Raw genomic sequence first — 21,149 nt, forward strand, 5'->3', positions numbered from 1 at the left:
CACCCCGCAGGGCTCACAGCATCTGGACAGATGGGGAAACTGCAGACAGCCTGTGACAAGTTGCAATGGAAGAATCACCGTGCAGTTCCCTTGGGTTTTGAAGCAAAGCCACAGTCTCTTCAGCAAACAACTATTTCCTTTAAAGACACAGTTCAGGAGTTGCTTCTGGACCTGATGGAGAATGTGCTACTAGTCATAGATCCCTAAGGGATACCAAGGGGCCAGGCATAAGTGGACAGGAGATGCTCTGCCAGGCCAAGCCCGGAGCTACGCCAAGCAGCAGCGCTTCCCTCCCCCAACTCCCATCTAAGATGCACGCAAGAAACCGGGTCCAAGCAGGCCCTGAAAACATAGGTAATCGCACCAGCAGGGGACTTGCACCCCAGGCACCTACTGCAGTGGCCCAGCCACCCCTCTGTCCACCCCCCGATCATCCATCTCTTGGGGTTCCCTCTGACCCACTCACTGGGGAAGAAGGAAGTTGAGCCTGGTTTGTGGGCTGTGTACAATATGCTGGCCCCAGCCATAAGCAGCTGCTGCTGTATCACAGCCCCCACCCTGGGGAGGCCTTGATTTAGACTGGAAAAGGCAAATTCTCCCAGTAGGCAGAACTTCAAATGGCACAGCTGATTTTCCACTGGGGTCTGGAAGGAGAGATGGGGACACATATGCAAACGGGAGGCTTGTCTAAAGGTCTGGCCCAGCGGTACCGCTCGGGAAGAACAGGACTGGAGGCTGGGGATGGGCCTCCCAGGACGGGCCAAGCATGTGAGGACATCTGGCCCCCCCAACAGAGGAGGCTCTTGGTAGCTGGTGGACAAGCTGACCCACTCTGAGGAGGCTGAGGAGCCTCTTTCCTTAGCCACTCCACTGAGTGCTCAGTGAGTTCATGGACACAGTGGCATGAGGCTGAGACAGAGATCATGGTGTGAGCTCAGCAACCACTCTCCCCTCCCCAGAGCAGGTCTGGCCACCACCCTGGCCACACACAGGAGAAACAGAAGCAGATCCCCCACAAGGGTGCCTGCCTGCCCTGAGAGCCGGCCTCTTTCGATCCAGGGGAGTGAGCCGACTGGCCTCATTGGAACGCACGTTGACTTTGAGTGCGGCTCTGCCCTCCGTCCTCACCATGCTTCTGCCCGTCTGCGGAACTGCAGACTGTTTTCTTCCATGGCACCTCAAACAACATTGCTCCCGGCAAAGAAATTCACTTTCCAGACAAAGAAGGGTGGCCGCGGGGTGAGGCATGGAATTCACTGGTCTTGCCATGCACTCATCACCCGGAATGGCAGAAGGACCATGAAGACTCCACTGTGGTACTGGATGGGAGCCAGTCGCACATGGAGTGGAGAACTGTGTTATTCACATGGTAGACCCTCTGAGCCACACACGCCACGCCATGCTCTTTCTCCCACAGGCAGAAACGCGGGTCAGGGGAACAAGTGATGCTGTCCCTAAGGACTGATTGCAAAATTTCTAATTCTTGCTTCCCATCCCCACAACTTTAGAGAGAAGACACAACCATGGTACTGTAAATCAAAAATAAAATTCTAGGCTGGGCGTGGTGGCTCACACCTGTAATCCCAGCACTTTGGGAGGCCGAGGTGGGTGAGTCACCTGAGGTCAGGAGTTCGAGACCAGCCTGGCCAACATGGTGAAACCCCGTCTCTACTAAAAATACAAAAATTAGCCAGGTGTTGTGGCGGGCGCCTGTGGTCCCAGCTACTTGGGAGGCTGAGACAGCAGAATCACTTGAACCCAGGAGGCAGAGGTTGCAGTGAGCCAAGATTGTGTCATTACACTCCAATCTTGGCAACAAGAGCAAAACTCCATCTCAAAAATTAACATAAAATAAAATAATTCTAAGGCCCCCAACCATCTGAATGGACCCCTCCTCTCGGCCAAGGGCACTCCAAAGTCAACTGAAAAACCAGTTTCAGGCCACGATGGGAAGGGGAGCTGGACACGCCTCATTATCACCTTCTCACTCTTGGAATTACTGAGAGAACAGACTCTTTAAGTCTGATAAGAAACACTTACAGTCTATTCTCTGTGAAGCCTGCTACCCGGAGCTTTCATCTGCATGATAAAACCTTGGCATTGGCCGGACGCAGTGGCTCACATCTGTAATCCTAGCACTTTGGGAGGCCGAGGTGGGTGGATCACCTAAGATCAGGAGTTCAAGACCAGCCTGGCCAACATGGTAAAACCGTCTCACTAAAATACAAAAATTAGCCGGGCATGATGGTGGGTGCCTATAATCCCAGCTACTCGGGAGGCTGAGATGTGAGAACCACTTGAACCCAGGAGACAGTGGCTGCAGTGAGCCAAGATCACGCCACTGCACTCCAGCCTGGGCAGCTGAGCAAGACTCTGTCTCAAAAAAAAAAAAAAAAAAAAAATCGTTGGTGTCCAAAACCCCTTATTGTAACCCAGGACATTCATTTCTATTGATAATATAATAACTCTGTCAACCAATTGCCAATCAGAAAATCTTTGAATCTGCCTACTTGGAAGGTCCCACCCCATTCCAGTTGCCCCGTCTTTCTGGACTGAACCGATGTACATCTTACATGTATTGATTGATGTCTCATGTCTCCCGAAAATGTATAAAAGCAAGCAATGACTTTCTTCACAGAATTGGAAAAAAACTACTTTAAAGTTCATATGGAACCAAAAAAGAGCCCACATCGCCAAGTCAATCCTAAGCCAAAAGAACAAAGCTGGAGGCATCACGCTACCTGACTTCAAACTATACTACAAGGCTACAGTAACCAAAACAGCATGGTACTGGTACCAAAACAGAGATATAGATCAATGGAACAGAACAGAGCCCTCAGAAATAATGCCGCTTATCTACAACTATCTGATCTTTGACAAACCTGACAAAAACAAGCAATGGGGAAAGGATTCCCTGTTTAATAAATGGTACTGGGAAAACTGGCTAGCCATATGTAGAAAGCTGAAACTGGATCCCTTCCTTACACTTTATAAAAAATTAATTCAAGATGGATTAAAGACTTAAACTTTAGACCCAAAACCATAAAAACCCTAGAAGAAAACCTAGGCATTACCATTCAGGACATAGGCATGGGCAAGGACTTCATGTCTAAAACATGAAAAGCAATGGCAACAAAAGCCAAAATTGACAAATGGGATCTAATTAAACTAAAGAGCTTCTGCACAGCAAAAGAAACTACCATCAGAGTGAACAGGCAACCTACAAAATGTGAGAAAATTTTCACAACCTACTCATCTGACAAAGGGCTAATATCCAGAATCTACAATGAACTCAAACAAATTTACAAGAAAAAAACAACCCCATCAAAAAGTGGGTGAAGGACATGAACAGACACTTCTCAAAAGAAAGCATTTATGCAGCCAAAAAACACACGAAAAAATGCTCACCATCACTGGCCATCAGAAACATGCAAATCAAAACCACAATGAGATACCATCTCACACCAGTGAGAATGGCAATCATTAAAAAGTCAGGAAACAACAGGTGCTGGAGAGGATGTGGAGAAATAGGAACACTTTTACACTGTTGGTGGGACTGTAAACTAGTTCAACCATTGTGGAAGTCAGTGTGGCGATTCCTCAGGGATCTAGAACTAGAAATACCATTTGATCCAGCCATCCCATTACTGGGTATATACCCAAAGGACTATAAATCATGCTGCTATAAAGACACATACACACGTATGTTTATTGTGGCACTATTCACAATAGCAAAGACTTGGAACCAACCCAAATGTCCAACAATGATAGACTGGATTAAGAAAATGTGGCATATATACACCATGGAATACTATGCAGCCATAAAAAATGATGAGTTCATGTCCTTTGTAGGGACATGGATGAAATTGGAAATCATCATTCTCAGTAAACTATCGCAAGAGCAAAAAACCAAACACCGCATGTTCTCACTCATAGGTGGGAATTGAACAATGAGAACACATGGACACAGGAAGGGGAACATCACACTCTGGGGACTGTTGTGGGGTGGGCGGAGGGGGAAGGGACAGCATTAGGAGATATACCTAATGCTAAATGACGAGTTAATGGGTGCAGCACACCAGCATGGCACATGTATACATATGTAACTAACCTGCACATTGTGCACATGTACCCTAAAACTTAAAGTATAATAATAATAAAATAAAATAAAATAAAAATAAATAAAAGCAAGCAATCCATGCCCCGAACACCTTGGGCACATGTCAGGCCTTCCTGAGGATGTGTCATGGGCGTGTCCTTAGCCTTGGCAAAATAAACTTTCTAAATTGATCGAGACCTGTCTCAGATACTTCTGGGTTCACAGTACCATGCTGGCTGGGTAATAGATGGTGAATATCAAGGGGAAATGGGGCTGCTGCCACTCAATGGACATGGAGGGGGTGTTCTGGGGCCCACGCAATTTTGGAGGCTGCTTCTTTTCATTGTAGTATTTTGTGTCAGTTTTGATGAAAGTCTACAGTAACCCCCCACAAGCAGGATCATGAAGAGCTCATACCCAGCAGGGGTAAAAGTGTGAGTCAATCATCTGCCAGGTTACAAACTCGGACCAGCTGAAGTGTTAACTTGAGGACAAAGATGACGGAATAATCAGTGGAAGAGAGAAAGTTCCAAACACCAGTGGATGGCCCGCTGCCAGGTAAATACATAAGGAATCTATATTGGATTTCCTTCCCGCCCCCACCTTTCCCTACTACTTTAAATCGGGTGTGCAGTAGGTGGTTGGTTTTAGAATCTGGGTCATAGTGATTGATGATATTTCGGGCCCTTCCTTTCAGGGAAGGATGAGGACAATTGTGCCTCTCTGAGGGATGGTTGTACTATATTAGGCAGGAGAGCTTGTTGCTAATGTGATTGTTTACAAGTTGAAGTCTGGGGAGGAGGGGGTGTGGGGGAAATTGACCGGCAAAGGGTGGCCTGTGAAGGGCACCCTGCCTCGGTGGGCCTGGTAACGACTCCAGCCTCCTGGGACACCATCTTACTCTGTCGAGGCTGGTGGTAAAACCGCATCTCCCAGGCGCCCCTGCAGCTCAGGCTCCAGCTGTGCTTGAGGCTTCACCGTCAACAGAATGCACCCCTGCGAGGCCCGAGGAAAGCGGGAGGAGAAGAGGGAAATCCACTTTGCTCAGAGCAGAGGCATCTGTGGTTCCAGAGCCTGCGGCTGTAGCGGGGCCTTCCCCTGTTTAACAGAAACGACTTTCTGACCATTCCTAGAAGCTCAGACTGGAGTTTGTTTCACCCTCCCAATAGTTTACAAGCCATTTAATGTCCTATCATAAACTCCTTTCTGCAAAATGTCTAGAATGAAATCTGTTCTCTGCAAGCGACCCCGACCAATCTACCGAGAACTTTCTGCAGGAACTTACAGCTTGAAAATCTAAGGGTTGAGTTCCATTCAGTGATCATAGATTTAGGGATCGTGAAAGAGGAAGCAATAAAAACAGATTTAGATAATTTAACTCCCATTTCCCTACTTAGGATTCCTTTCTTTGGGTTCTCTACGTATATTTCAATCGTAATTCATGAGTTTAAACGAAAAAAGTAATCTTCAGACTAAAAAAACTTAAAAACAAATTTAAGCTTGAGCTCTTGAGCTACAAGGTTCCTGGATATGGGATTCACAAGCCAAACCAACTTGAAATTGGGAACAACAGGCTTTCCCTGCCCTCCTCCCAACCACCCAAACTCCCCAGCACCAACTGCAGGTGCCATGGAACCTACCTGCCCTGAACCAGGCCTCACCGACACCCTGATCTCTAGGCTCCCCCTCTAACCCTGCCTAGACGGTCACCAGGCTGGGCAGGAACACCAGCCCCAGAGCAAGAACAGAAGCTGTGGAGGCCGCTTTGGAACACGAAGGGTAATTCTCTCAACATCCCAAGGCTCTTTCCTCCAAATGACAGTGATTTTATACAGGCTGGCTTAAGGACTCTTCTTAGTTGGCTGGAAACACAACCCAAACTTGCTCGAGCGTGCCAGGGGACATTTTTGGCTCGTGTAACTGACAATTCCAGGACAGGCCTAAGACAGCTGGTCCCTGGCACTCAAACGATGTCACTGGGACTCAGTTTCTCCATTGTTCCACTCTGCCCTCCCCCCACTGCTGGCTTTCTTCCCAGTCAGGCTCACCGCTCTAGACCGCCCCTGATGCTGGAGGTTGTGTTCTCACAGCTTTAGGGCCAGAACAAAGAGATTTTCTCTTCCACACAGTTCTAAGCAAAACTCCCAGGACAAGACACTCCTTAGATCAACCTGGGTCACACATTTACCTCTGATTGGCCAGGCCCAGGTGCTGGAGCGGTCACGAGGCAGGGAGGGGCTGTCCAGGCCATAAGACCCACGTGAACTGAGAGTGGAGGGGGGGTTCTCCCCACCTAAAGGAGATGAGAAAACAGAGTCGTTATTACCAGAAGGGGTATCAGACACCTGATAAAAAAACAGAGGAGCCCTCACTGGCTGTGGCGAGCAAGCCCTGCTTCCGAAGGGGCTGCCAGAAACCAGAGCTCCGCGAAGTCCAGGCAGAGCGACAAGGGGACGGCAGGAACCCTAAAAAACAAACAGGGCTGGGAGGCTGCTGGGAGCGGGGCTGCGCCGTTCACAGCCAAGCACTCCTTGGTTCGTAGTCCCAGCTCTTTAAGCAGCTGTAGAGAAATCACTCCACCATTTACAAGACCAAAGAACTCTACAGCGTTCAGCTGCTCAAAATCAGCACCACAGAGCCCACTCAGCTGTTAAAAATCTACAGATGGGCACCATGGTCCCCCAGCAGGGAGAAGAAGAAATTGCGTCATCCTTCTCAGGCAGAGATGATCTTCCTGACCTGCGGGGAGGAGGGCCGCCTTTTCGGCTTCTTTTGCCAGGAGTGGGGATGGCTGAGTGCTCAGTCATCCACATACACCCATCTATTCCATCCTGGTCATGCAGCTTAAGTGTGAGAGCCCAGAAGAAGCACCCAGCACAGGGCAGCCCACACCTCTGGGGGTCTTCTCCATGCTTGGTGTTGGAAGGTGGTGTCACCCGCTTCTCAGGAGTCCCTTGAGGGGTATCTCAGAAGTTCCCACAAGTCAGTCCCTGGGGTAAGAGAAATTGCAACGGAAATGCCTAGGTCAGGCTGCTTGCAGAAATCCTTTAGCAAGTTATCTTGTCCTGTGAGAAATCATCTTTTTGTTTTGTTTTGTTTTGAGATGGAGTCTCACTCTGTCACCCAGGCTAGAGTGCAGTGGCATGATCCTGGCTCACTGCAACCTCCACCTCCCAGGTTCAAGCAATTCTCCTACTTCAGCCTCCTGAGGAGCTGGGATTACAAGCACGCGCTACCACGCCCAGCTAATTTTGTATTTTTGGTAGAGACGGGGTTTCACCATGTTGGCCAGGCTGGTCACGAACTCCTGACCTCAGGTGATCTGCCCACTTCGGCTCCCCCAAAGTATTGGGATTACAGGCATGAGCGACCGTGCCCAGCCACACCTTATTTGTCTTTGTGGTTAGCATTTATTTTCCCAAGTGGAACCTCAGTTTATTATAAAAACCGCCATTACCAAAAAACATTGCCTTTTGTCTACTACAAAAGACTTTTATGCCATTTGAAGCTCAGAAATCCTATCAGATAGAAGGTGGCAGTGGTAGTCGTGGTGACTGATGTGTAATAGGTAGGGTTGGGAGACCAGGTAGTGACTGTGCCGAGGGTGTGGTGGTGGTAATGACTGGGGAGGTAGTGATGAGGAATGGGAATTATGGTGGTGGCAACATGGTGTCAGTGGTGGATAGTCATGGCAGTGGGAGGTGATGATGGTGCTGGTAGTGATGGGTGATGATGATGGTGGTGGCTGATGTCAGAAGTGTGGTGATGGTGGTAATTATGGTGATGGTGGTGACGGTGATAGTGGTGATGATGGTGATAGTGATGACGGTGGTGGTGGTGATGGTAGTGGTGATGATGATAGTGATGGTGGTGGTGATGATGATAGTGATGGTGGTGGTGATGGTGATAGTGATGATGGTGGTCATGATGGTGATGATTATGTTGGTGGTGGTGATGGTGGTGATGGTGATGGTGGTGATGGTGATGGTGATGGTGGTAGTGATGATGGTGATGGTGATGGTGGTAATGATGGTGATAGCGGTGATGATGGTGATGATGGTGACAGGGATGGGCTCTTAGGCCAGGAGGAGTTAGAGGGATGTAAGCCATGTAGCCCGTGAGACAAAATCAGGGAATTCAACATGGAAAACATAAAGCCAAACCCAAGGCTGAAAGGAACATCTCCCAATACCAGGATGGAAAGGAATCAAAGCTTGCTCAACTACCCCATTTCCCAGATGACAAGACCAGGTCTGAAAAGAAAAGGCCACTGTTCCAAGGTCACCAGCCTGCAGCAGAGCACAGGCCCAAAGCCTCCCAGATCCTAGTGAGGAGTAAATCACCAGTCTCAGAATCCAGGGCTGGGAGAGAACTCTCCATGAGGAGCCTGGTACCAGTCCCATGCCAGGCCAGAGGAGGGCTTCCATTCCTGTGTGCCAATGCCTGTCGACTCACAGAAAACCTTCTGTGGGCATCCTAGCAGAGATCAGAAGTCTGGGAGGACAGCAAGCGTGCAGCCAGCAGAGCACCTGGCTCAGCTCTTCCTCCAGGGAAGGCTGAAGGGTCCCCAAGGCCCCGGGAAAGTTACCCTGCAGGAGGCAAGGCAACTGGAGGATTGAGCCTTCCCAGCCAACTGCAGGTACCATTTCAGGGTAGAGCAACGGAGAGGGTCGGACTCAGACTACCCAGGTCTGGGCCAGGCCAACAGCTGGACCACAGCTATGAACCCCATGCGCCGGCCTGCCCACCCATCATGACTCCCACCCCAGCCACAGAAAGGTCCTGGGCTCTCCCACAGTGTCCGCAAAAGCAGGGCTCCAAGTGAGAAGAGAAGCCGGAGGCTGGAAGAAAAGCCAAAGCTGCTGGGTCCCCAGCCAGGCCTGCCCACTCCCTCCCTGTCCCCCAGACCTCTCCCCTGAGGGTCTCCAGGCCTCTCTAGTCCTCTTGTCATTGAGGAAGGCCAAGACCAGGGACCTCTAGGAGACTCTGCGGCAGACTTGCCTGGCCAGTGGAGCATCTGGACAAGAGAGGTCTGCTCCCCCTCCCCTCCCTCCACCCCTCCCTCGCTGGCCCAGGAGGCGGCAGAGCCTGTGCTTGCCTGGGCCCTGGCGTGAGCCAACAGCGCCACCATCAGCTGCCAGCCGGGAAGTCCTCCCACTCCACCAAGAGCCATGCGCTGAACAGAGACTGAGACGGGACAGGTGGCCCCTGCCTCTGGGAACCACAGGCCTAACAAAGGGCACCTTCTGGAGCATGCCACAGGGCTCGGCAGGAGCCTAGAAGCTTCCATCAGTCTTCTTCCTCCACAGGAGCGCTCAGGCTGAAAAGGGGGTCTGAGGCTGATGGTGCCCAGAGCAATAATTCATTCATCTAAAATCACCAGGAACCTTCAACGTGCCAGGACGCGTCCAAGCCCTGCGGATGCGCTGATGGTGAAAATAAGAAGCAGTGTCGCCAGGACTCAATGGGCTCAAAGCAGGCTCGTATGCAGTCCTCTCTGCCAGCGTCTGAGGTGGCCACTCTCTCTGTCCTTGGGTCACAGAGGAGGAAGCCAAGGCTCAGAGGTGTTCAGCATACCTGGCTCCTGGAGCTGGTGAGGCCAGACCCGGGCAGAGGGGGAGCCTGTGGGCAGCCACTGAGGGCGTCACTCCCCACCGTCACTGCCACCGTCACTGCCACATCTGGTGGCCACCGAGAGTGTCACTCCCCACCATCACTGCCACATCTGGGTGGTCACCGAGGGCGCCTGGGTTGACACCATCCCTCGGAGAGAGGGAAGATTCTGACATCTTCCCTAGCCTTGGCCTTTGGATTGCCCCCTTGCCATCCTCAAAGCTGATCAGGGCTCTGCACACCTGTCATGACTGAACTGATCTGCCGGCCCTTTTGGGTGATAACAGCGAATGAGTCAGCTTCCAGATGGCACAGCTCTCAGCTCTACCCATGCTGGCAAGAGCCCCAGGCCCTTGCAGAGGTGCTGGTACCAGGAGAATGGCACCTGGCACAGAGCCTAACACATAGAGACACCCAACACAACACAGAGAACACGGGGCCTCTCCACCCCAAGGAGGGCTGCCTGGGAGACCCTGGGAGCCACATCCAGGTCTGCCCACTGGAAGCCCAGACGGGGATGTGAATGGAAGCTCACAAGGCCACGCAGGGACGAATGCCCCAAAGTAAGCACCACAAGGATTTCACAGCCCGGGTCCAGACCTTGGGCCTGGGGGACCTGGCCACTGAAGAACAGAGGGGCCACCCTAACACGTGCTATAATGAAAACTGCACCTGGTCTTGTGTCTGGTTCCAGGCACAGAGCTCCTAAAACCGTGGGCACGTCCAAGCTCAGGAGTGGCTTTTGTCATTCACAAGCAGCCCCTTTCCCCCTTACCTGAGCTTATGCTAATGAGGCAATTCAGTAGCTCCCTAGATAGCTGTGGGCTGGGGGCTGGAGGCTGGGGGCTGGGGGCTGGGGGCTGGGAACTGAGGGCTATGGGCTGGGAGCTGGGGGCTGGAAACTGGGGGCTGGGAGCTGGGGGCTGGCTGCCAGAAGCCCAACCATGTGGTTACAGGGTGGGAACTTTCAGTCCTCTCCAAACCCCTCTGCCCCCAACCCCCTTCTCCAGGGAAGGGAGAAGGACTGGAGATTGAGTCAATCACAATAGTCAATGACATAATCAATCAGGCCAACGTAATGGGACCTCCATAAAAACCCCTAAATGACAGGGCTCAAAGAGTTTCTCTCTGGTGAACTCATGGAGGTGTGGGAGGGGGCGCGTCTGGAGGAGGCATGGGCACTCCCAGACAGCCCCGTGCCTCACCCTGTGCGTCTCTTCCAATCAGCCGAGTTGCTGCCTTTATAAGAGACTGCTTGCTGTGAGTAAAGCACTTGCCCGGTTCTGTGAGTTGTTCTAGCGAATTATCAAGCCCAGACAGGGCGTTATGGGAACCCCAGATTTATATCTGGTTGGACAGAAGAGGGAATGGCCCAGGACTTGCAACTGACATCCAAAGTGGGGACTCTCCTATGGGACTGAGCCCCAGGCCTCATCGGATCTGACACTACCCCCAGGTAGATCAGTTCAGAATTGAATTGCATTGCTGGACACCCAGCGGTGTCAGCAAATCCCACAGGTAATAACGAGTGCTTGATGCCAGGGTAGAGAAAGCTGTGCATGCCCCGACCTTCATTCCTGACCTGCAGATGGCTCCCTCTGGGTGGCCGGCCGAGAGCTCCTGAATTGGGGTGCATCTCCATGAAAGAAGAGGGGCTGGGGAGCAGCCAGCCGCCCACCTGCAGCCTCGTTTTGGGTGACACTCTCGCCACGGCCCGTGGGCTGCTCCAGGAGCCTGCCGAAGTGGAGCAAGGTCCACCCGGGTCCAATCCCCACCTTTCCACCCGGGTTCAATCCCTACCTCTCCACCCGGGTCCAATCCCCACCTCTCCACCCAGGAGCCCAAAACAGGCTTCAGGGCCCCCCAGGCTCAACTGCACACAGCAAATCAGCGAGGCACACAGGAGGCGCGACTCGAATTGGGGATGGGGGATGTCTGGGCTCCCTTCCCCTACACCCTTGCTTCTCACGTTGACCATCCCCGTGACTCTGAGTTTTCAGTTGGAACCCCAGGGGCACAGTCTGAACACAGACCCCGGACCGGCTGCTCCTGCAGGACATCTGCTGAGTCCAGAAGGAATCAGTGCACGACGCCCGCAGAGCCCCAAATGCCCTGGGAGATCAGCAGGACTTCAAAGACAAGCAGGGGCCTCGGTGGCCACCTGACTTCTCCCTAGGCGGCCTCCACTGACCTTCATCCCAGCTGCCAGCACACGCTTTCCCATGACGAGGAGGAACCACGGTGCCTGCAGCCCAGCTGGGTAAAGGCCCCAACCTGGCTAGCCTGGACACCACACTCGGGAGGTGGCAGAGCCTACTGCCACCCGCGGAGAACATCGCTCAGTCCCCTAAATTTCAGGTAATGGCGTCCCGGGCAGGCACTCCTGTCACTGCAGATTCAGAGTCGGGATGACAGCGCTCAAAATTTAGTTTCAAATGCCTTCTGCCAACGTCACTCAGGAGCGTTCCCATGGGAGTGGGACTCGAGGTTTGAGAATTTTCCTCCTGGGCCTTCCCAACATGTCCCTGCTCCGCCACTGACCACAGCAGAGGGGACACTGGGCAGAAGGAGGACCACATTCCTGAGCAAGAGGAGGCTGGCATCACACTCTGGGTCCACTCCGTGCAGCTCAACACAGGGCCTCGTCCAGCCTTACGGCCCAGTGCCCCCACCTAGTGCCCCCAACATCCGGCCCGTCCATGCCGAGGGAGTGAAGGCAGAGCCCGTGGGCGCCGCCCTCCAGCTTTGTGGCTCTGGAATAGAGGCACGGGGGGAGAAGCGCCTCCCGCACAGGGCAGTCAGGAGAGGCAGGCCACACACCCCAGCCTGGGCCCCCTGCCCCTCCCCAGTTCTACCCTGGGTATCATAAGTTCTGGGGTCACGTCAGAGTGAGCCCACAAACCTGCCCTTTGTCCCAAGTCTCACATTCTACCCAGAATCCCAGCAGACCCCTTAGAAACAAATGGGAGGGGTGGAGAGAGGAGGGGTCCCCCAAGTCCACATCCAGTCAGCAACAGGGGAGCAGCTCCAGCCACCTCCAGGTACAAAGGACAGCAAGGTTTGAACACCCCTGGGTGCAGCCTGCAGGGAGGAGGACTCTCAGAAGGCCCACAGCCTCAACTCCTGCCTGCAAAGCCGGAGTGCAGAGCCCGGCCTGCTCCTGCCCCCGCCCCTGCCGACCAGCCGGGCCACCGTCTCAGCCCCCGAGCCCTCTGTGGGCACCATCAAAGCTGCACGGCCGGCCGTGATCCACCTCGAGGGGTGGGTGCTGAGGAGGGGGTCGCAGGCGCCCACCTGGTGGGGTGGCATGGAACCCCCCAGTGACCACCCATTCTCAAACTCCCTGGGGACAGCAACCTGCCTGGTGTGTTCCTCATTAGCAGCGCCAAGGAAGCCTTCGGCCGTTCACTTGGTCAATGAACGCAGGGCACAGGCAATCACTCTGGGGAATGCGGCTTCCAAAACATTGAGGAGTGAAGTGGTCCAAGAAAAAACAGGACCCGGGCCCAGATGATGAGTGCACGTGGGTGCGATGCTGCTGCGGGAGCAGCGAGGGTCTGGAGCCGCCCAGGGTGACTCACCGCTAGGACAGGGCAGCTCGGCTTCACATCTTCCCAGAGGCCAAAAAGCCGCTCCATGCAGGGCCGCGATGGGACGGGTGGCCGTGTGAGGGAAGGAGAAGGTAGAGGGAGAGGCCCAGGGGAGTCTCATCCAGCCAGGAACCACCAGAACTTCTAGAAAACGCCACTCCAAGAGACAGATGCAGGAACCTTCCTAAAGAGAAACCCAGGGGTTTCTGCAGGTGACAGGATTCCCCAGAGAGGGAGGCAGGATCTTAGGCATTAGAGGGCTGCTGGCACTTGCTCTGCCCTAGGACTGCTCCCATGCCGTGCCTGACAGGCAGATCCCAGCCTGATGCCCTGACCCTGACTCCAGGCTGCCGGGGAGGGAGACGCTAAGGATGTCAGCCTCTCTTCCATCGGCATCCTGAGCACGACGTCTGTCAGGCTCTCTGGATAGTCACCGTCAGACTTAGGCGCCAGAGCCTCAGGAACCTCTGGGACCTGACCCAGGCCTGTGCCCAGCCTGGGGTCAAATTCTACCCTAGGCATAGTCACTCACTCCTGTTTTTTTGTGGGGCTTTTTTGTTTTCATTTTTGTTTTAGAGTCTCACTCTGTCCCCAGGCTGGAGTGCAGTGGCGCAATCACAGCTCACTGCAGCCTTGACTTCCTAGGCTCAAGCCATCCTCCTGCCTCAACCACTGGAATAGCTGGGACCACAGGCGAGTGCCACCACGTCCAGTTAAATTGTTTTCTTGTCTTATGGAGAGACAGGGTCTCATTATGTTGCCCACTCCCATTCTGTTTTTTCTTTCAGGGTCTCACTCTGGAGATACACAGTGAGCTATGATTGCAACATTGTAATACTAGAGTGCAGTATTGCAGTCATAGCTCACTGTAACTTCAAACTCCTGAGTCCAAGCTATCCTCCCACCTCAGCTGGGACCACAGGTGCACACCACCATGCCCAGATATTTTTTTTCATTTTCGGTAGAGACGGGGGTCTCACCATGTTGCCCAGGCTAGTCTTGAAATTCTGGGCTCAAGCAATCCTCCCACTTCGGCCTCCCAAAAGGCTGGGATTATAGACATGAGCCACCGCACCCGGCCCACTCCTGTTTTTTCACAACACAGTTCATCTCCTCTACTCCCAAGAGTTTGATCAAGGCTTTGGCTGAGACTGGAGAAATGAGACATGGAACAAGGGAATGGAGTCATGTGGCTGACACTGCACTGAGCTCGGGGTCCCTGTGTCTCAATCACTGTAAACACCCAGCCCACTCCTGTTTTTTCACAACACAGTTCATCTCCTCTACTCCCAAGAGTTTGATCAAGGCTTTGGCTGAGACTGGAGGAATGAGACATGGAACGAGGGAATGGAGTCATGTGGCTGACACTGCACTGAGCTCGGGGTCCCTGTGTCTCAATCACTGTAAACACCGGCTCCAGTTGGCTTCAGTATCCCCAAGTGCCTGCTTGTTCCAGCTCCCACACCTCTGACTCTTCCCGAGTGTTTTTAAGCAAAGTCTCTGCAGACTTTTTGAGACCAAGGAATCTTCCCACATGTAGCCCCAAATCCCTTTTCTGGGTTTGTACAAAGCGTCTAAGGTGTTGAAGCCCCCATGGCAGCTGCAAGGCGTGTTTTGAAGTCTCCTCCCAGGAAGCCCCTGTCCTGAAGGACGGGTTCAATTCCCTGCCTCCACCTGCTTAAGAGAGAATCTCTAAGCACCCTCTTCTCCTTCCTCCTAGGCAGCGAGAGCCCAGGAGAGTTCCTGAGACGATGCAATATTGATAAAGCCCATTGTGCTGTGAAGTTCAGACTGAGACCCCCAGCCGGCACATTTGGGGTGCTGTTCTTAGTGAAAACAGAGCTTTCAGCGCCCCACACACCCTGGCTGAGAGCGTGGCCCAGGGGTGGCGAGACTCCTCTTTGAGCTGGGCTTGATCTGACTGGCTTTTTTCCAGGGGTTGCAGCCTGCCCGGGGCCCGGAAAGCTAAGTCTAGCCCCACACCTTCCCAGCTCCAGGGCAGAAAGCCAGCTCAAACCACACGGGAAATCAATTTGCTTTCTGAACTAGAGGTGGGCGGCTCTCTGATCTTACTCCCTCCTGCAGAAGTCCTGGAAGAAACAGGGCCTCGCAGCCCCTCCCCCTCCTCCTGCCCACCGGCAGCGGAACCGGGGCTCATCCAGGTTTTGTCTACATAGGTGCCAACCGGGCAAGGGTGTGAAGGGCTGAGGGCAGTGCCAGGGCAGTGGCAGTCTCAGAGGCCAGTGCGCCTGAGGCTTTGCCACACCAGGAGCAGGAAGAGGAACCCTGATCCAGCCTCACCTCGGCCTCCATGGCTCCTAGTTCTTTCCAGAGCCTTCCAGGAACAGCGTGCCCAAACCACCAGGCTGAGGCTTAGCCCAGGGGTCCCCCTACCTGGGGGGAGCACGGGGGGCCATCATGAGCGAGGTCTCCACCAGACCCCTAGAAACAGGGTAGGAACGCTATAGAGAGCCGTTTTTCATTCAAGCAAATGTATTCGGTGAAAGCACTGTCTCGCATCCTTCCTAGGCTGGAGGGCTCAAATGTTCCTTCTATTATGAAATGATGATGCAGATGGAGTAGTTTGGGTTTGGAAGGAATTCTTTTAATGCCCTTACTTGGCCAATAAAAAGCTGGCAATTCAGGCCGGGAGCGGTGGCTCACGCCTGTAATCCCAACACTTTGGGAGGCCGAGGCGGGGGGATCACGAGGTCAGGAGATCAAGACCATCCTGGCTAACACAGTGAAACCCCGTCTCTACTAAAAAAAATACAAAAAAATTAGCCGGGCATGGTGGCGGGCACCTGTAGTCCCAGCTATTCGGGAGGCTGAGGCAGGAGAATGGCGTGAACCCAGGAGGTGGAGCTTGTAGTGAGCCGAGATCACGCCACTGCACTCCAGCCTGGGCGACAGAGCGAGACTCTGTCTCAAAAAAAAAAAAACCGCTGGCAATTCCACATTATCTGATTTTTTTTCTTTCTTTTTTTTTTAAAAATTGACCCATGAAATCCAAAAGTTACCAATGACGGTGAAATGCATCACCCCGAGAATCATCCACCAAGGAGCCCCTGAGTCGCTGAGCCCGGGTTTGCCTTGCTAACATGCTTAATCATTGGCTAACAAAATGCAAATTAGGCAAACAGCAACCAGGATCATGCAAGTCCCAAGTGGTGACACAAGAAGGTGGCTGGGAAGCCGAGGGGGACACTGATTTCCAGGAGCCGAGCCCCTCTCAGATCAATAAAACTAAACTTAGAAGAATTATCTTCAGATGCAAACAAGAGTCAAACACACGGTTATATTGTACTTTATTAGGTCTGGGCAGCTAAAGTGCCCCGTCCATGCTCCAGCTCTCCAAGGGAGGCCAGGTCCTGCCAGGGGACATTTATCAGGGGCTCCGAGCGCTACTCCCTGGCGAGGCACCGGAGGAAATTCAGCCCCCGGCCCAAGCGCTCGGCTCCATGCTTGCGTGAGCCCCGCAGACGCTCCCCTCCCACCTGTCCTGGGAGGAGGGGGCTGGATATCCCATCTGTGAATTCATTTGATCATTACCAAAACATCCTTTTCCTAGTGATATGGAGAAAATGTTAGGAGAATAAAGAGACAGGCAAGCGGGAGGCTGGGGGCAATATGAGGGTGGTGTCTTACTGGGGACAAGCTCACCAGCCCACCTGAGCAGAATAGAGATCTTGCAGCCTCCTTCCAGGACTAGGGGGAGACTGGGTCTTTCCCAGGGAGCTGCTGACCCCTGGATTCCATAGCTGGTGCATCTCCATTATCCAGCATTAACACCAGGGACGTGGAATGCTCCAAGACCCCAGAGCCACTGCCCTGGAGTCTCCCTTGCAGTTTACTCTGAGGCCACAGCCAGAGGGGGCCCAGTCAGGACCCTGTTTGGCATCTTAGACCCCGAAGCTCCGAGGGTAGATGTTACAGGGCATCTACCCACACAGCTGCCCCTCGACTGAGAGCCAGAGATGGCCTCACTCCAAGCCTCCAGTAACAGATCAGAAGACACAGCCTGCAGAGTGGAGGTGAGGCAGGAGAACAGGGAATGAGGGTAACCCAGGGTTAAGGCAGAAGCAGAAGAACAGCAGGTGCAGCCAGTTCCAGGCAGGATTGGGCAGCACACAGGCCACATCCTCACCCCTGCAATCACAAGACACAAGTCTCCACTCCAGCCTCTGATTGACCTCAGGCCGAGTCTCCACACTCCAGCCTCTGATTGGCCATGGGTCAAGTCTCCACTCCAGCCTCTGATTGACCTTGGGCCAATCCTTCATAGGGAGTAACCAACTGGAGGCCTCTAAAGGGCACCTAGGGTGCCACCAAATTCTTTTGGCTTAATAAAAACCCTAAAGAACAATGGGGCTCCTGAGCCACTTGCTTGAGCCTGCTCCCCCTCTGTGAAGTATACTTTTGCATCAATAAATCTAAGCTTTCACTGCTCTGTTCTTTTGTTGCTTTTTTATTGCTTCATCCTTTTGTTGCTTTGTTTGTGCATTTTGTTCAATTCTTTGTTCAGCGCACCAAGAACATGGACAACTTGCCATCAAGACCTTCCACGTGGTAACAGAGGGTCTCCCAGATATCCTAGGAGCCCCCTGAAGCGAAGGACTGACTTAGCACTGGATTCCCTCCTTCCTGATACATGCCCTCATTCCACACCCACCTGACTTGAATTCTGCCATTCAAGGTCACAGTGGAAATCCAGGAGAGGGCCCAGCTGAGCCTGAGCCGTCTCAGTGCATCCATCTTCCCAGCACAGCACTCCTGCCCTGCCTGATGCGAAGCTTTAATGATTGTTACAATATTGCAAAACCAACTTCCTCAGCTTCCAGCATTCTAAGATTAAAGTATTTGATATAAAGCATGCATGCACACACACATTCACACAGGCACACACGCACACACATGCACATACATGCATACAGGCACATGCCGGCCAGACACCTCCCGGCTGCCTCACAGTCCATGCAATTATATACATAGAGAATGAGAGAGAGAGAGAGACCCTGCTGGTTGGTTCTGTTTCTCTGGAGAACACTGACTAACGCACTAGTTAACCACCACTCTATTTTCTGTCCCTGTGGATTTGCCTATTCTGGACATTTCATATGGCTGAAATCACACAATATGCAGTCTTTTGGTCTGGTCAGACACAGAGCTGTGCTGGGCCTGGCAGGGGGCAGAGCTGCCCAGGAGGGAGGGAGACTTGCTGGCTGGACAGTGTTCTCCTGGCCCCAGCATCAGTGAATTCCACCAGACCAGATTTGACAGCCCACCAGCTGGGGCAGGACTGTGAGGACCTCAGAGGCAAGGCTGCCCCCACTCCCCGGCTCCCCCCGGCTGCTGTGGTGTAGGCAGCCCCCGATGCCTACCTGGGAAGGGGACTGCACAGGGCAGATGAGGTGAAGCTGGTGCTTCCCGATACGCACACGTTAATACACTTTGTATATTCAGTCAGGGCCTGTTGGGTCTCAGGCACGGGTCCCTGTCCTGGAGGAACCCAGGACTGACAGCAGACACTGATGGTGAGCATGCAGAATCAACCTTGGGGGAACTGACCCCAAGGCCAGGGCGCCATGCATCATTGACAGAATTTCCGCAGTGGTTCCAGCCCCTCCATCCCCTCCTGCATGAGGGACAGCCGAGGGGAGAGCCGCCGCCTCTCCTGTACACAGGGACTCACGGCCGGCGGCGGCTGTGAATCCAGCCTCCATCCTTTCTGTTCATAGCTGCCATGTGTGTTGATGAGAACAGATCTCTCTAATTAAAGCTGTCACATCGTTGCCTTAGGATCTCGCCCAAGCTCTGCACAACAGCAAGGGCCTTAACTGCCTGTTACGCCGGCCTAGACTTTCCCGGAAAGCCAGAGCACCCAGCCGCACCCAGCCCCCTTGGGTAACAACCCCTGCACCACCAGGATTCAGGGGACCCAGTCCCCGGGGCAACTGCCCTCCCTGCTCAAGGACAGCCCCCTGCCCATGGGCCCTGGGTCTCCAACCCCTTCTCTGGGCCTGGACATGGCTGGCTTGGCTGTGCTGGGCAGTGGGCACCCTGTGGGTGACAGGGCCTGCCGTTTCCTTCCCATGGGACCCCTGGAGCCCCACACGGTGTCCCCAGGAAGCTTGGCTGAATGAATTTGCTGGCCTGGGCTGGCTCCTTGCCTGGAATGCACTTTCCCACCCCCAACCCATTCTCACTCCGTAAAGCTCAGCACCAGCTTCTCCTCCAGGGAGACCCCAAGAGGCCAGGCCAGCAGCCCCTGCCCCCACGGTCCCCACAGCCCTCATGTTCATCCTGGGCACCTTGGTCTGATGCCAAGGGTGCGTGTCTGTGTGTGCATATCTCCCACCTGCTAGTCAAAAGCAAGTTGGAGGCTGGGCACGGTGGCTCACGACTGTGATCCCAGCACTTTGGGAGGCCAAGGTAGGCAGTTCACCTGAGGTCAGGAGGTCGAGACCAGCCTGGCCAACATGGTGAAACCCCATCTCTATTAAAAATACAAAAATTAACCAGGCATGGTGGCAGGTGCCTGTAATCCCAGCTACTCAGGAGGCTGAGGCAGGAGAATCGCTTGAGCCCGGGAGGTGGAGGTTGCAGTGAGCTGAGATCGCACCACTGCACTCCAGCCTGGGCAACAGAGCGAGAATCTGTCTGAAAAAAAAAAAAAAAAAAAAAAAGCAAGTTGGAGCAGGGGCCTGTCTCAGTCTGTCCCCTATGCCCCAAGCACAGAGCATCCCTCAAGGACATCAGAAGATTTCCGGGAATGGCCCTGGCCAAAACCAATGTTGACCAAACCAAAGACCCGGTGGTGGAGTCCTCAGCAGCCGGCAGCGGCAGCACCACACAGCCCAGAGTGCGTTCACTCACTCCCTGACCTCAGGTGCCGAGACCTTTCTAAAACATTCCAGAAACCCAAGCTTGACTCTCGTGTCGGGCTTGAAGGGGTCCACACCAAAGACCCCCTGTGACAGCTGCCCTGTCACTCCCACTCCTTCCTCCGTCTTTGTGACAGGGCTCTGCCTGCATGCCCTGTGCCCTGGGGCCTTGTAGAGCCTGCATGAGGGTCCATCTACCCCAGCAACTTCCGGCTTGGCCCGAGGAGTGTGAGTGGGTGTGGTGTGAGCTGAAGGGTTCCTGTGCCTGGCAGTTTGACTTGCCTCTTGGCGCTCCGGCCATCCTTAGGAAGAGGCCCTGGGAGGCTGTGGGTCCAGGGTGAGACTCTCGCAGAGCCAGATGGACCCTGACCTGCAGCTGGAAGCCGAGCCTCCATAGCCACACTCAGGATCGTGGGCAAAACCCAAATGCCTGTTGTAAGCCACTGAGTTTGGGGGAATGCATATTTTGGAACATGACTGCAGCACGGAGCTGCCTAATCTGCCCCTCTTTTACCCAGCAAGCTCTGAACCAATTGAGACAAAGTGATTCTAATCCCATCCCATCTCCACACACCCTTGGAGCCATCAGTCCCACCCCGACCCGGATTTAAGGTCTGTGTTCTCACTGGAAACGTCATTTGCTCTGCAGCCTAAACGAGAAAGCGGACCCACCTTTGGACATTTTTGGCTAACAGTAGCTAAGGAAAGACCAGGGCCCATCCATAATCCTTAAGAAACATTATTATTCTATGGAAATTATTCAGTTAATCTACTTTAATAACCCTGCGCAGGACCGTTAATAGACTGTGGCCTTCACAGCATCAATTTCAGAAATATGAGCTGTGACTTCCATCGGTGGCAGCAGCACCTAGCATGTGCCCTGATGGATGCTCATTCGTCAGCTTAATGTGCCGTAAGGAGCAGTGGCACTGCCCCCCTTGGGGCGTAAATCTCTCCACTCCC

At 53.5% G+C, this 21,149-nt stretch overlaps 5 annotated features.

The window, feature by feature from the left end:
- Nucleotides 1,753–2,337: an enhancer, noted in NCBI's record as "NANOG hESC enhancer chr1:5883532-5884116 (GRCh37/hg19 assembly coordinates)". NCBI's record gives its function as "activates a minimal SCP1, AML or CMV promoter by ChIP-STARR-seq in naive and primed H9 embryonic stem cells {active_cell/tissue: H9 hESC(naive and primed)}" and the evidence as "EXISTENCE:reporter gene assay evidence [ECO:0000049][PMID:30033119]".
- Nucleotides 4,535–5,035: an enhancer, noted in NCBI's record as "H3K4me1 hESC enhancer chr1:5886314-5886814 (GRCh37/hg19 assembly coordinates)". NCBI's record gives its function as "activates a minimal SCP1, AML or CMV promoter by ChIP-STARR-seq in naive H9 embryonic stem cells {active_cell/tissue: H9 hESC(naive)}" and the evidence as "EXISTENCE:reporter gene assay evidence [ECO:0000049][PMID:30033119]".
- Nucleotides 9,030–9,324: an enhancer, noted in NCBI's record as "tiled region #9093; HepG2 Activating non-DNase unmatched - State 13:Ctcf". NCBI's record gives its function as "activates a minimal TATA promoter and a strong SV40 promoter by Sharpr-MPRA in HepG2 cells {active_cell/tissue: HepG2}" and the evidence as "EXISTENCE:reporter gene assay evidence [ECO:0000049][PMID:27701403]".
- Nucleotides 9,972–10,482: an enhancer, noted in NCBI's record as "H3K27ac-H3K4me1 hESC enhancer chr1:5891751-5892261 (GRCh37/hg19 assembly coordinates)". NCBI's record gives its function as "activates a minimal SCP1, AML or CMV promoter by ChIP-STARR-seq in naive H9 embryonic stem cells {active_cell/tissue: H9 hESC(naive)}" and the evidence as "EXISTENCE:reporter gene assay evidence [ECO:0000049][PMID:30033119]".
- Nucleotides 15,162–15,314: a silencer, noted in NCBI's record as "fragment chr1:5896941-5897093 (GRCh37/hg19 assembly coordinates)". NCBI's record gives its function as "represses an EF-1alpha promoter that drives an FKBP-Casp9 reporter gene in an ReSE screen in phorbol 12-myristate 13-acetate-treated (for megakaryocytic differentiation) K562 erythroleukemia cells {active_cell/tissue: K562(+PMA)}" and the evidence as "EXISTENCE:reporter gene assay evidence [ECO:0000049][PMID:32094911]".

This window comes from Homo sapiens, chromosome 1 (genome assembly GCF_000001405.40).
Source record: "Homo sapiens chromosome 1, GRCh38.p14 Primary Assembly".
NCBI lineage: Eukaryota > Metazoa > Chordata > Mammalia > Primates > Hominidae > Homo > Homo sapiens.